Source organism: Homo sapiens, chromosome 4 (assembly GCF_000001405.40).
Source record: "Homo sapiens chromosome 4, GRCh38.p14 Primary Assembly".
Classification (NCBI taxonomy): Eukaryota; Metazoa; Chordata; class Mammalia; order Primates; family Hominidae; genus Homo; species Homo sapiens.
Window position 1 is genome coordinate 121,952,909 of NC_000004.12, and position 13,042 is coordinate 121,965,950.

Sequence of the window (13,042 nt, forward strand, 5' to 3'; positions counted from 1 at the left end):
AAATGTAGCTCCTTTGAATTTAATTCTTAAAAAGTAAATAAAATATTGTGTATTAAATTGGCAAGTCTATATGTTGAAAGAAGCAATAGCATTTATACATCTAATATAGGAAAAACAAAAACAAGTAAATATTGTATAGTGCTTTATGTTTGGAAGTGCTTTTCAGTTGTTAGTACATATGCAAGTGTTAACGGTTTCACAATGTAGGTTAGCAGACCTATTCAGTTTCACCTCTGGAATATCTCTAAAGCAGGACTGCCCTTCTCCACCCGGTACCACCGCCTCAATTCAGGCTCCCCTGCTTCTCCCTGCTATCCAGCCTTTCTGCAGCCCACCTCTCCCCATACTGTTTCATTCTTTGTACTACTGGAAAGACCATGCTTAAAGCAAAGTCTGATCACGACTTTTCTCTATAAAAATCTCTGGTGGCTTCCCACTACTTTCAGGTTAAAATCCAAGTTTTCAATCTCTCCTCCCATCCTTTTTCATACACATTCTAACTGCAGTTACCCTGAACGCTCAGTCATCAACTGACATGCTAGATACTTTCCCATTTCTCTGCCTTTGTCTATGGCATTCCTGTCACTGAAATGTCTCTCTTCATTCATCTGCTACACTGACTTTTCCTTAAAGAACTAGGTTAGCTGTGGCCTCCAGTCTGACAGCCCTCTTGGGTCCCAGTGGATTTTCCACAGGCTCTGGTCCTTACCCACACTGTGTATACCACAGTCTTACCAGTGATCACATCATACTGAAATTCACTCTGTATGTGCCTGTTTCCTCTAAACTATGAATCCCTTGAGGGTGATGTGGGATCTTATTTATTTTGAGCTATTAGGGGCTCATCTTTTTGTCCTTGCTATTTAGATCAGTACCTGATGTGCAGGACAAGCTAAATAAATGTTTGTTGGATGAATTTATGAAGTTTATAGTTTCTTTATAATTACTTTAGTATGTTTATAAACTGCCCTTATAGGACCATGGATAGAAGCTCTATAGCAATGCTGGAGTCACCAGGATTTACTCTTACACAATGTCTTAGTCTCCTGAGGCTGCCACAACAAAGTACCAAAGACTGGGTGGCTTGGGTGGCTTAAACAACAGATACTTAATTGCTCACAATTCTGGAGACTAGAAGTCTGAGTTCAAAGTGTTCACAGGGTTGGTTTCTTTTGAGGCCTCTCTTTGTGGTTTATAGATGGCTATCTTCTCCCTGTCTTCACATGGTCTTCCTTCTGTGCCTGTGTCTTGATCTCCTCTTCTTATAAGGACACCACTCATATAGAATTAGGGCCCACCCTGATCACCTCATTTTACTTAATTACCTCTTTAAAGACTCCATCTCCAAATACTGGCACATTCTGAGGTACTGGGGGTTAGGACTTCAACATGTGAATTCTGGCAGTACACAATTCAGCCCATAACAGAGGAGAAGTTTCTGATCTCAAAAGGAATAGAAGAAACCACAAAGAAAAAAATAGACATGAAAAGCAAAGATTAAACACTTCAATGTATCACAAAAATTTTAAAATATAAATAAGGTTATCTGTAAGAATTACTGCTCAACAGTGTCTTCTTATTAGACACAGCATAGAAGTTAGACTTAGCAATTTTCTGAAGGTAGCAAGAGCACAGAAACAGGTAAAGTGTTCCTAACAGTGTACATTTCTTTCCCCTCCTTAAGAGCAGAAGTTCTTGGCCGGGCGCAGTGGCTCACACCAGTAGTCCCAGCACTTTGGGAGGCCAAGGTGGGCAGATCACGTGAGGTCAGGAGTTCGAAACCAGCCTGGCCAACATGGCGAGACTCTGTCTCTACTAAAAAAACAGTACAAAAATTAGCTGGGCGTGGTGGCAGGCGCCTGTAATCCCAGTGTAGAGGCTGAGGCAGGAGAATTGCTTGAACCCGGGAGGCGGAGGTTGCGATGAGCCAAGATCACGCCACTGCACTCCAGCTTGGGCGACAAGAGCGCAAGAGCGAGACTCTGTCTCAAAAAGAAAATAAAAAAGAGTAGAAGTTCTCCTATAAATGCATTTGCTTGCTTTTTAAAGTAAACTTAACTGATTGATTTTGTTACCAGTATAAATTAAGAAGATAAAAGCTGCATATCAGAACAATCAACCCCCCCAAATTAGGATTCCCAAACTTATGATGTGGTCATTAACATTCTAGTGCCTTTTACACAGAACTTATAATGTCCCATAAACTGTCTTTCACTAATGCTTGCTGTTCTCTTACAGTCCAAGGAGTTCCCAGGCAGTTTCCTCACTCAATGTGTTTTGAAAATTTCCTCTAGTCAGAAGTTTGGAACTTGTATTGGTCTGTTCTCATGCTGCAAATAAAGACATACCCAAGACTGGGTGATTTATACAGGAAAGAGGTTTCATGGACTCACAGTTCCCTATGGCTAGGGAGGCCTCACAATCAAGGCAGAAGGCAAAGTAGAAGCAAAGGCACGGCTTACATGGCAGCAGGCAAGAGAGCTTGTGCAGTTCCATTTATAAATGGAACTTCCATTTATAAAACCATCAGATCTCATGAGACTTATTCACCACCATGAGAACAGTATGGGGGATCTGCCCTCATGATTCAATTATCTCCACCTGGCCCCATCCTTGACACCTGGGGATCATTACAATTCAAGGTGAGATTTGGTTGGGGACACAGCCAAACCATATCAGGACTCAAAACTTACTTTAACATAGAAATAAGTTATAAATTATGGTTATATTTCCTGGAAAGTTAGCTTGAACTTGTTTCAATAACAGTGTAGGGAGGTATTTAAGAACATAAGGCCAGAGGCCTGGAATCAAATCCCACCTCTGCTGCTCACAGGTTGTGTGACTTTGAGAAAGCTACTTAACCTCTCCGAGCCTCAGTTTTTCCCTCAGTAAAATGAAGATATAGTCGTTGTACCTACTTCATAGGGGTGTTATAAGGATTCTGTGTTAATGGCACTTAAAACTGTACCTGGCATATAGTAGGCACTAGTAAGTATTAGCTACTATTAGTTCAGTATGTGAATTATAGAACTAACAATAGAAATCAGAAGTCTGTTTCCTAAAGCAAGGATCTACCCTATCTGATTTAGATGCCATTCTATAATAGTATTTGCTAAGTTGTAACACTGGGCTGTCAGTTCTTCTAGGGGCAGGGACAGAGTCTTATTTGACATTGTCACACCAGTGTAATCATAAAGCTGGCAACATAGTGAGTGTTCAATAAATGGTAAGTAGTAATAACAGTAGTGGCAATTGAAACAGCCGTGGTAGTTGGAACAGCAGCCATTCAATAACTATTTGTGAAATGAAGAGATCCCATAGTGAGGAGGGGGAGGGAGCGACTTTTCTTCTTCTGCTTTGGGTACAGTGCCAACCTCAAGTAAAATTTGAGAATGGGCAAAACCTTTCTTTGGCATCTCTCTACTCTTTCTCTACATCTTTGTCTACCTTATAATGCCTTGTTTCCTAGCACCTATGAGCTCAGTGACATCGTATTGTTTTCATCCTTCCAGGATCTTATCTCTGGCCTGCCATTACCCCAAAAGGGCTCCATGCTTCTCAATGACCTTTCTATTCCCTGCCAGTCAAAAACTGCTATTCCTTCAGGGCAGTCAGTCTCAGTTAGCTGTTAAAGGGAAAGTATTTTATACAAGTTTGTACTAATGTGTGTGAGCCCCTAAAAGTCCTTAATGCTCCAAGGGATTTACATTTTTCAAAAACAACAGTAACTGTCCATTTAATGGAACTACCAGCTGTGTATTAAAGTCAAGTGAAAGGAAGATGCTTTTAGGGGAAGGGAAGATACTAGGAGCTGCCTACAACTCCCCTGTAGGGTTTCTGACTTTTTTCTTTTATTCTTTTTTTTGAGATGGAGTCTCGCTCTGTCACCCAGGCTGGACTGCAGTGGCGCAATCTCGGCTCACTGCAACCTCCGCCTCCTGGGTTCAAGCAATTCTCCCGCCTTAGCTTCCCCAGTAGCTGGGACTACAGGCGCCCGCCACCACACCCAGCTAATTTTTTGTATTTTTAGTAGAGATGGGGTTTCACCATGTTAGCCAGGATGGTCTCAATCTCCTCACCTCATGATCCACTCGGCCTCCCAAAGTGCTGGAATTACAGGCATGAGCCACCGCAGCCAGCCAACTTTCATCCTACCCATTACTAAAAGTTATAATTTTCTACCATTTTGAATTTGCCCCACCCCCCACCCCATTAACATCTACCAATAGCATTGTCAAGATGGGCTCCCAATTTGAGGAGGGAGTGGAAAATGGGTTAAGGGGCAAAGCTAGGGGATTTATGTATAGCTTCAATATTGAGCAAATAGAGACAGAAATTTATTATTTTGGGGAGACAATTCTCCATGAGTGCCTCATGTTTCTGTACACCTTGAAAGCAGAGGCAATGGTTACCTTTGTTCTGGAATATCTTTTCAAGGATGTTTATATGGCAAACAGCAAAGAACTAGTATGTGTACTGTTCTGTGTAATAAAGATAACTCTCTCCTTGGGGCAAAGGTCAGGCATGCCTACTGACTGTTATAAAAGATTCAGGTTACCTAAGCTCCAGGTTCTTCTCTTGTAATGCAACCTGCTGCATGTGCAGGTGTCATCTGCCCCTCTCCATGTCACTCTGTGGGAACTGAGACTCAGGGAACTGGCACAAATACTGGCACTCTGGATACCGCTATTGCTATGAGTAATAAACCGTCCTTTGCGTCTGGCAGGGGAGTTTTGTGCCTTCTGCCAGCATTCATGAAACTGTGGCTAACTACCTTGTTAGCTTGCCAGTAGGGTAAAATTTCAGATCCTTCATAGTTCTTAACAATTATTACATTTTATAGGCCAGGCACAGTGGCTCACGTCTGTAATCCCAGACATGGGATTACACCCACTTTGGGAGGCCAAGGTGGGTGGATCTCTTACGTTCAAGAGTTCAAGACCAGACTGAGCAACATAGTGAGACCCTGTCTCTACAAAAAATTAAAAAAAAAAAATAGCCAGGCACAGTGATATGGCATGGCTCGTGCCTGTAATCTCAGCCCCTCAGGAAGCTGAGGTGGGAGGATCACCTGAGCCTGGGCTGTCAAGGCTTTGGTGAGCCGAGATTGTGCCATTGCACTCCTGCCTGGGTAACAGAGTCAGACCCTGTCTCAAAAAAAAAAAAAAAAAAAAAAAAGATTAGGTTTTATAGATGGAAAATTCACAGCTCTCTCCAGATCAGAAATCTCCAAGAGTAAATTAGTGTCTTAAAGGGGTTGTAATAACTTTCCTATGTGACTAAGTGCATTATTAATCAATTTTTCTATGATCAAGTACTCCTTTACATACCTGCTAATACAATTTTTGATATGAAATCAGTCCTAGAGGGAATCAATGTAAGATACAGACTTGATGAGTGCTTGCAGTTTTTTATTGACAATCTGAAGAATGACTTGACTCTAAATTGCAGCTCAAGGCTTAGAATGCTATTGTGTTTGGAGATTTGAGGAAAGTGGGCGTGAAGACTTAGTGTTCATTTCCTCAACCTCTCTCTGTGTGAACATACAGGAATCAAATCTGTCTAGCCTCTCTTTTTGGCAAGGTTAAGAACAATTCCACTTCATCCTAATCCCAATGATTCCTGCCGACCCTCTTCCAAAAACTATTTAAAGACATGTTCTTCAAAGTTATATTTGTCTTTCCTTCAGGGAGAAAAAGAATACCAATCACTTATAATATGGAAACTAGCAGAAATGGGTCACATAAGTCATCTGTCAGAAATTGGGAAAATAGAGTAGGTCAGTCTTTCCAGTCATGGTACTTTTACCTTCAATCAAATGAGATACGATAATTTCTTATTTATATTAATTCTACCCAGGCTGAATTCTTAAGACATATTTAAAATGTTAATTAAAAATGTAAATGCAATTCTCTTTACTTTCCCTTTTCTTTTATGTCAAATTTATTCTGTGCTACATGCACACCTCTTACAGGTTCCAAATGCAACCCCATGCTAAGTTCTGAATTACTAATAATGGACTTAGGATAAGGTTGTTAGTCTCCATATTACCAGGTTAGTGGTTAACCACTTTAACGTTGTTTTGTTTAAAAGCAGAAATATCTACCACCACCATTGATTGGAGAAAGACCTGACTTACTGATGTCTGACCAGATATGAATTTCGAGAAGTGAGGGTGAAACTCACTTAAACACTCTGTATATATAAAGGACACTGTTTCCCCATTGACATAAACTATGCCCTTCCTACCTCCCATTAGCCAGCTCTAATCTTCAAATGTAACTCTTTTATCCTATAACTCTTAACTTTAGGCAAAAGTGTTAAGATAAAGCAAAAGGAAAGAGAAATAGAAAAGACAAAAAAATTAAAATGTTATCTTTTCTCCCAATATTCACCTGGAGCGTCGCTGATGTACTGGTATCATGCAAGATTCCCCTATATTCACCTGGAGTAAATTATCTTGAAAATGTATGAAATACCCATACAAGATGCTCAATGGCCTCATTTTAATGCAAATTTTGGTTAAATAATTAAAATTACAAGATATTCACATGGCAACATAGAAATATGTAATTCAACTGTTAATCCTTTTGATATGACATTATGATTATTATAATGTCTTTAAGGATTTTAGGGATAAAGGAAAGGGAGGAGATTGTACTGTCCAGGTAATCATGAACTATGTGGGGTTGAAACATTTTAAAGGACATCTAGTCTGATCAACTTATAATGTTTGAATCCCTTTGCACAATCCTGACTAAATGTTCATAATATACATTAATATTTTCATCACTAAACAGTTTTTAAGAACATGATTCATTTACCTCTATAGATTATTTTTTAATGTAATAAATTCTTTTTTTTTGTTTTTATTTACTTTTTTTTCTTTTCTGTAAGTAAATTCTTAAAAGAGATTTGGATGCCAGGAAAAAAATTTCATAGTGTGGCTTACATCTTAATCAATGAGTCAAGTCTGTGAGTAAATGCCCTTAGAAAGAAGATTGTTGTATATCTTAGTGATGAGATAAGCACTCAGAGGGGGACTTTAAGTGATGTCTTTGAGGGTTCCTAGAAGGCATTGATGTCCAACACCATGTATATCTGCGAGAAGTGGAAAAGTCCAACTGGACATGTGTATTAGGCTATTCTTGCATTGTTATAAAGAAATACCTGAGACTAGGTAGTGTATATATAAAAAAAGAGAGGTTTAATTGGCTCACAGTTCTGCAGGTTTTACAGGAAGCATGGTGCTGGTTTCTGCTCAACTTTTAGGGAGGCCTCAGGAAGCTCACAATCATGGTGGAAAGTGAAGGGGGAACTGGCAAGTCACACGGCGAAAGCAGGAGCAACAAAGAGGGAGAGAAGGTGAAGGGAAGGTTGGTGGGAGGTGCCACACACCTTTAAACAGCCAGATCTTGTGTGAACTCAGAGCAGGAGCTCACTTAACACCAAGAGGATGGTCCAAGCCATTCATGAGGGACCCATGATCCAAACACCTCCCACTGGGCCTACTTCTGAGATTGGATTACATTTCAACATGAGATTAGAGCAGGGACATGCATTCAAACTATCTCAATGTGTAAAATATAAAAATTCAGTAAACAATAGAGTTCCTATTGAAAATGTGTGCCTTTTAAGTTCAAGTCTTGGATATAACCAGTCAGAACCTCTGTTATAATTATGAGTTGGGGATGGGGATAGAAGGCATAATAAAGATCTATATTGTTGTGAGCCAAGAAGGAGACAGGTTATACCTCTTTGCGTTCAATAGATTTAGGCTTGACTACCAAACAGGAGAATGCTCTAAAATACAATGGAAAGTGAAAGCTTTGAATCTTGGCTTAAAGGTGATTTATTCTGCAAAAGGAGCTCTGCCCAATGGACTTTTCTGGCACCCTCTGAAGGCTGACACTTTCTGTAGAGCCCAGGAAAAATAATAAAAGACTTAGTATCTACATCAAACAATTCCTGCACACTAAAGTATTTCTTCTAAAAATTATACATTAATCTTGGCTACTGAACAACAAAAAGAAGTCATTGCTTTAGGATGTTTTGTTTGCTTTATGAGGACTTTCCTCTCACTCAGCTGTTTACCTAGCAGCTTAAAATTCTGAAATCCCAAAGGAAAGAGAGGCTTCTCACACATCAGAAAGAAGATGGCAGGCTACCAAACCGTAAATGGCTCCAATTTTCATGTAAAGTCAGCTGAGTGAATCACAGGTGGATTTTTACCAAAAATGCACTGAAGGGCCTCTGCCACCAATAATACCTTATTTAAAAATGATCAGCTCATCCTTGGCTAGAAATATTATGCATACTGTAGCCAAATATATTAAAATATAAATAAAACAAGGACACCTCTGGAGATAGTTCAGCAAAAACCCAATATCCAGAAATAAATTGATTTAGGAGGAATAGTAAAAGCTCATAACAGGCAGCAAGGGTGCAGTAAGGATTTATGGGTTGGAACTGTTATGGGGGAAAAATAGAATTGCTTAGCTAGAATGACTTTTTGGGAACACATATAAGAAGATTTTATTCATGACTTTAGATCTTTCAGAATATACTTTTATATAAATGCAAAATATACAATTCAGTCAAAAGCAGGAAAAGAATTACCGGTACCTAAGGATATAAAAAAATCTCAAGATAGGGCTGGGCATGGTGGCTCACACCTGTAATCTCAGCACTCTGGGAGGCAGAAGAGAGGATTGCTTGAGGCCAGGAGTTCGAGACCAGCCTGGGCAACAGAGCAAAACCTTTTCTCAAAAAAAAAAAAAAAAAAAAAAACCTCAAGATAGTAATGTGGCCAAGAATGAAATGATCTTAAATACAGAAAATGTAAGATAGTAGATGATTTGCGACAGTCACAATTACAGTCCACATACTTTATCTCCCAGAATCTCAAATCATCATCATCTTCATTAGCAGCAGCAGTGGTTATTCTCTTCTACTATCCCTTACCACTTAATGTGCAGTAAGCATCTGTAAGATAATGCCCTGGAAACCTAAAATAAACCCAAATATATATGATCTTTTGATGTCTCCTCATTGCTTCCAGATAATGTCCTTTACTTAACACATAAGGCTTTTGGTGATCTGGCCCTTGCCTATCTCTCCAGCTTTGACTCCTGCTACCTTTCCTTTGAGACTTTGTATATGTGTTCCTTCTGTCTAGAATCCATTCATTCAAAAAACTTGTTGTATACCACCTGTAAGTCGGGCGCCATGGCTCAAGCCTGTAATCCCAGCACTTTGGGAGGCTGAGACCAGTAGATCACCTTAGGTCGGGAGTTCAAGACCAGCCTGGCCAACATGGTGAAACCCCGCATCTACTGAAAATACAAAAATTAGCTGGGTGTGGTGGCACACACCTGTAGTCCCAGCTTCTGGGGAGGCTGAGGCAGGAGAATCTCTTGAACCTGGAATCAGAGGTTGTAGTCAGCCAAGATCGTACCACTGCACTCCAGCCTGGGCAACAGAGCAAGACTCTGTCAAAATAATAATAATAATAATAACAACAACAACAATAAAGAACACCAACCATGTGCCCTTCCATGAATGTCTACCTGGAAAACTCTTCATCCTTCAAGACTCAAAATCTCCTCCTTGAAGTTTCCTTCCTCAAGGAAAGTTGATCCCTACCCTTTTTACTTTTTAAATAATGCCGCCATTGTGCCTTGAACACAAACCTGGTACAGACTGGAACCACAGTGAATGTTTTTTTAAGGGAGTAAAACCAAAACTATACAAGTGAATATATTCTAATTATCAAAAGTTTAAACGAGCATGAAGTAGTGAAAGTAAAAACTAACAATATTCTTTACCTTTTACCTCCTTCAGTCCTACTCCCCCCTCAGAAATAATTGTAGTTAAGAGTTTGGGGCATATTTTTTTCAGGCTTTTTTCAATACTTGTCTATAATAGCCAGTTTTACATGTTTAAAAGCAGAGCTCCTGGAGCCAGGCTGCCTAGAACAGAATTTGAGTCTGCCTTTTTAATATTTTTGGGGTTTGAGGTGAATTATTTATCCTTGCTGGGTCTGTTTCCTTATCTATACAACGGCAATAATAATAGTACCTAGCTGATTAAGTGAATTAATACATAAAGCAAGTACAGTGCCTAACATGTAGTATGTTTTTAAGAAGTGTTTGTTAGATATGCTATGCAAGTATAGGATTTTATGTTGCTTTTAAAAATACATAAGTGAAATTATACTGTACTTACTGTTCTGCAACTTGTTTTTATTTTCGCTTAACAATATATCTACCTCATTTTATAATATGGATATACTATGCTGTATTTAACCATTCATTATTTAATTTGTTTGTAAATTGATTGCCACGAGAATATTTTCCAGAAAATCCCTAAAATTTTTGAGTCATAGTATATACACACTTTGTTTATTTGTGCACTAACAAATTGCTGTATGAGGAGGATGTTTTTAAATTCCCATCAACAGCCCTAACCAGCAGGAATCAAGAGTGAATCAAGTACACACTGGGCAAGACACATCTCCCTGGTCACATAACCTCATGAACAAGTGTCAAGAAACCTTGGAGGTCCAGGCTCGGTGGCTCATGCCTGTAATCCTGGCACTTTGGGAGGCCGAGGCAGTGGATTGCCTGTGCTCAGGAGTTAGAGATCAGCCTGGGCAACACGATGAAACCTCGTCTCTACTAAAAATACAACAAATTAGCCAGGCATGGCAGTGTGCGCCTGTAATCCCAGCTACTCGGGAGGCTGAGGCAGGAGAATTGCTAGAACCTGAGAGGCGGAGGTTGTAGTGAGCTGAGATCGCGCCACTGCACTCCAGCCTGGGTGACACAGTGAGACTCCATCTCTTAAAAAAAAAAAAGGCAACCTTGCAGTTACCTTTTCTCACAGCCTCCTTCTTGTTTCTAGCTGCCGGGGTCATGAAGGAACATGAATATCCTTAATATCTCCTTTCCCTACACTCAGCAGTTCCAGCCTTCCCATGACCCCATTGTCTGCCTTGAGTCTACCAGGACTGTCTTTGTTAGGCCCTGTATTGGTTCATTTTCACACTGCTGATAAAGACATACCCAAGACTGGGCAATTTATAAAGAAAAAGAGGCTTAATGGACTCACAGTTCCACGTGGCTGGGGAGGCCTCACAATCATGGAAGAAGGCAAAAGGCACATCTTACATGGTGGCAGACGAGAGAGAATGAGAGCCAAGTGAAAGGGGTTTCCCCTTATAAAGCCATCAGATCTCATGAGACTTATTCACTACCATGAGAACAGTATGGGGGAAACTACCCTCATGATTCAATTATCTCCCACCTGCTCCTTCACACAACACGTGGGAATTATGGGAGCTACAATTCAAGATGAGATTGTGTGGGGGCACAGCCAAACCATATGAGGCCCTTTACCTACATGTTTATAAGACTCACCGTAAAATCTCCAGACTCCAAGCCACCTCTCCTCTCCCATCATATCTGCCCATTTCTACTTCTAGCTCCATCTCCCACATATTCTTTTTTTTTTTTTTTTTTTTAGATGGAGTCTCACTTTGTCAACAAGGCTGGAGTGCAGTGTCGCAATCTTGGCTCAATGCAACCTCCGCCTCCCGGGTTCAAGGGATTCTTCTGCCTCAGCCTCCTGAGTAGCTGGGACTACAGGTGCATGCCACCATGCCTGGCTAATTTTTGTATTTTTGGTAGAGATGGGGTTTCACCATATTGGCCAGGCTGGTCTCAAATTCCTGACCTCATGATCTGCCCGCCTCGGCCTCCCAAAGTGCTTGGATTACAGGTATGAGCCACCACACCTGGCCCACATATTCTTTACCAAACTCTTGAACCCCTTTCCTTTGTTTCTTCCGGAACTCAAGATCCTTCCTCAGCAAAATCTGCTACATATTCATCCCCTTTTGTGAAGGAGTTTCCTTTACCTTCTTGCTCTGCAGAAAACCTGGTTGTCTGAGGATGCTTCTTCCCTTACAGTCTTCTCAAGTCAGGGCTGATTTTTCTACTACATCCTTCTATATTTATGGGCCTGGAATGACTTTAGGTCTCTTTGATCTTTTTTCTTTTTTTCTGCTTCAGACCATTCTCCCTCCTTTCTCCCCAGCTTTGAATGTAATGTCATCAAATGATATTACCAGCTAATCTTGTTGTTGCAATTTCTCTCTGTCCCTGAGCCCCTCCCAATTTCTCTATGACTTTAGCTCCTGACTCATTATCACTCTCTTCCACACATTTTCTGTATTAATTTTTGAAAAGTCAGCATATACGTAGATGATCTTTCTAACACCCTGGCCTCTCAGTTTCTTGAATTCCTTTCTATCTTGTCCTACACCCTACCCCAGCCATTATGCATGATCACACTCTAGAAGTTATTGCAACAACTAACTAAAACCCTTCCATAATCTTAATTTCATGCACCTTACTCTCTGACCTTACCACCTCCTGTAGTTGCAGGTCACTCCCTGTATTAGCACAACTCTAGCAATCCTTCAATCTTTTCAGAACCTCTAATCCATTGATCTACCCTTTTTTGTTTATTCCAGTGGCCCCTTACCCAGCTTGAAACCCACAACCATCATCATAACGATTCCCTGCATAATGTGCTCAACCCCCTTGCTCCCTCTCCCTTCTTTATATTCACTTGGCAAAACCAACTGTACTCAGCCATGCTTCTACTTGTGCAGCTGGATGAGCCTGGAGGAAAACACACAGTGGCACTGTCTTGCCCCACATTAAATCAGGACCAAGAATGTCAAGTGGGTTCTTACACTGCCTGGCCATCATAACACAGAAGGCAGTAGGGGATGGGGGTGAGTAGAAATATGTGAAGAGTTATACCTTGTTTCAAGAAAGGATAACAATATGGATTAACTCTATGAGGTGACAGAAAAATATACACTGAAATATATGTTATTTATCAACAACTACTATTGTTTTTATAAATTATTTTCCCTTCAGGATGTTACTCTTGGGGATAGGGACTACCACTCAATAGATTCTTAGAGAATTTAATTTTGACTAGAATTTTTTTGTTATAGGTAATGATG

The 13,042-nt window shown here is 40.3% G+C and overlaps 1 long non-coding RNA gene across 1 annotated transcript in view; it reads left to right on the forward strand.

Annotated features, from left to right (window-relative positions):
• The window catches only part of LOC102724158 (uncharacterized), a 38,699-nt gene that overhangs the window by 1,927 nt on the left and 23,730 nt on the right, over positions 1-13,042 (forward strand). The window lies entirely within an intron of this gene.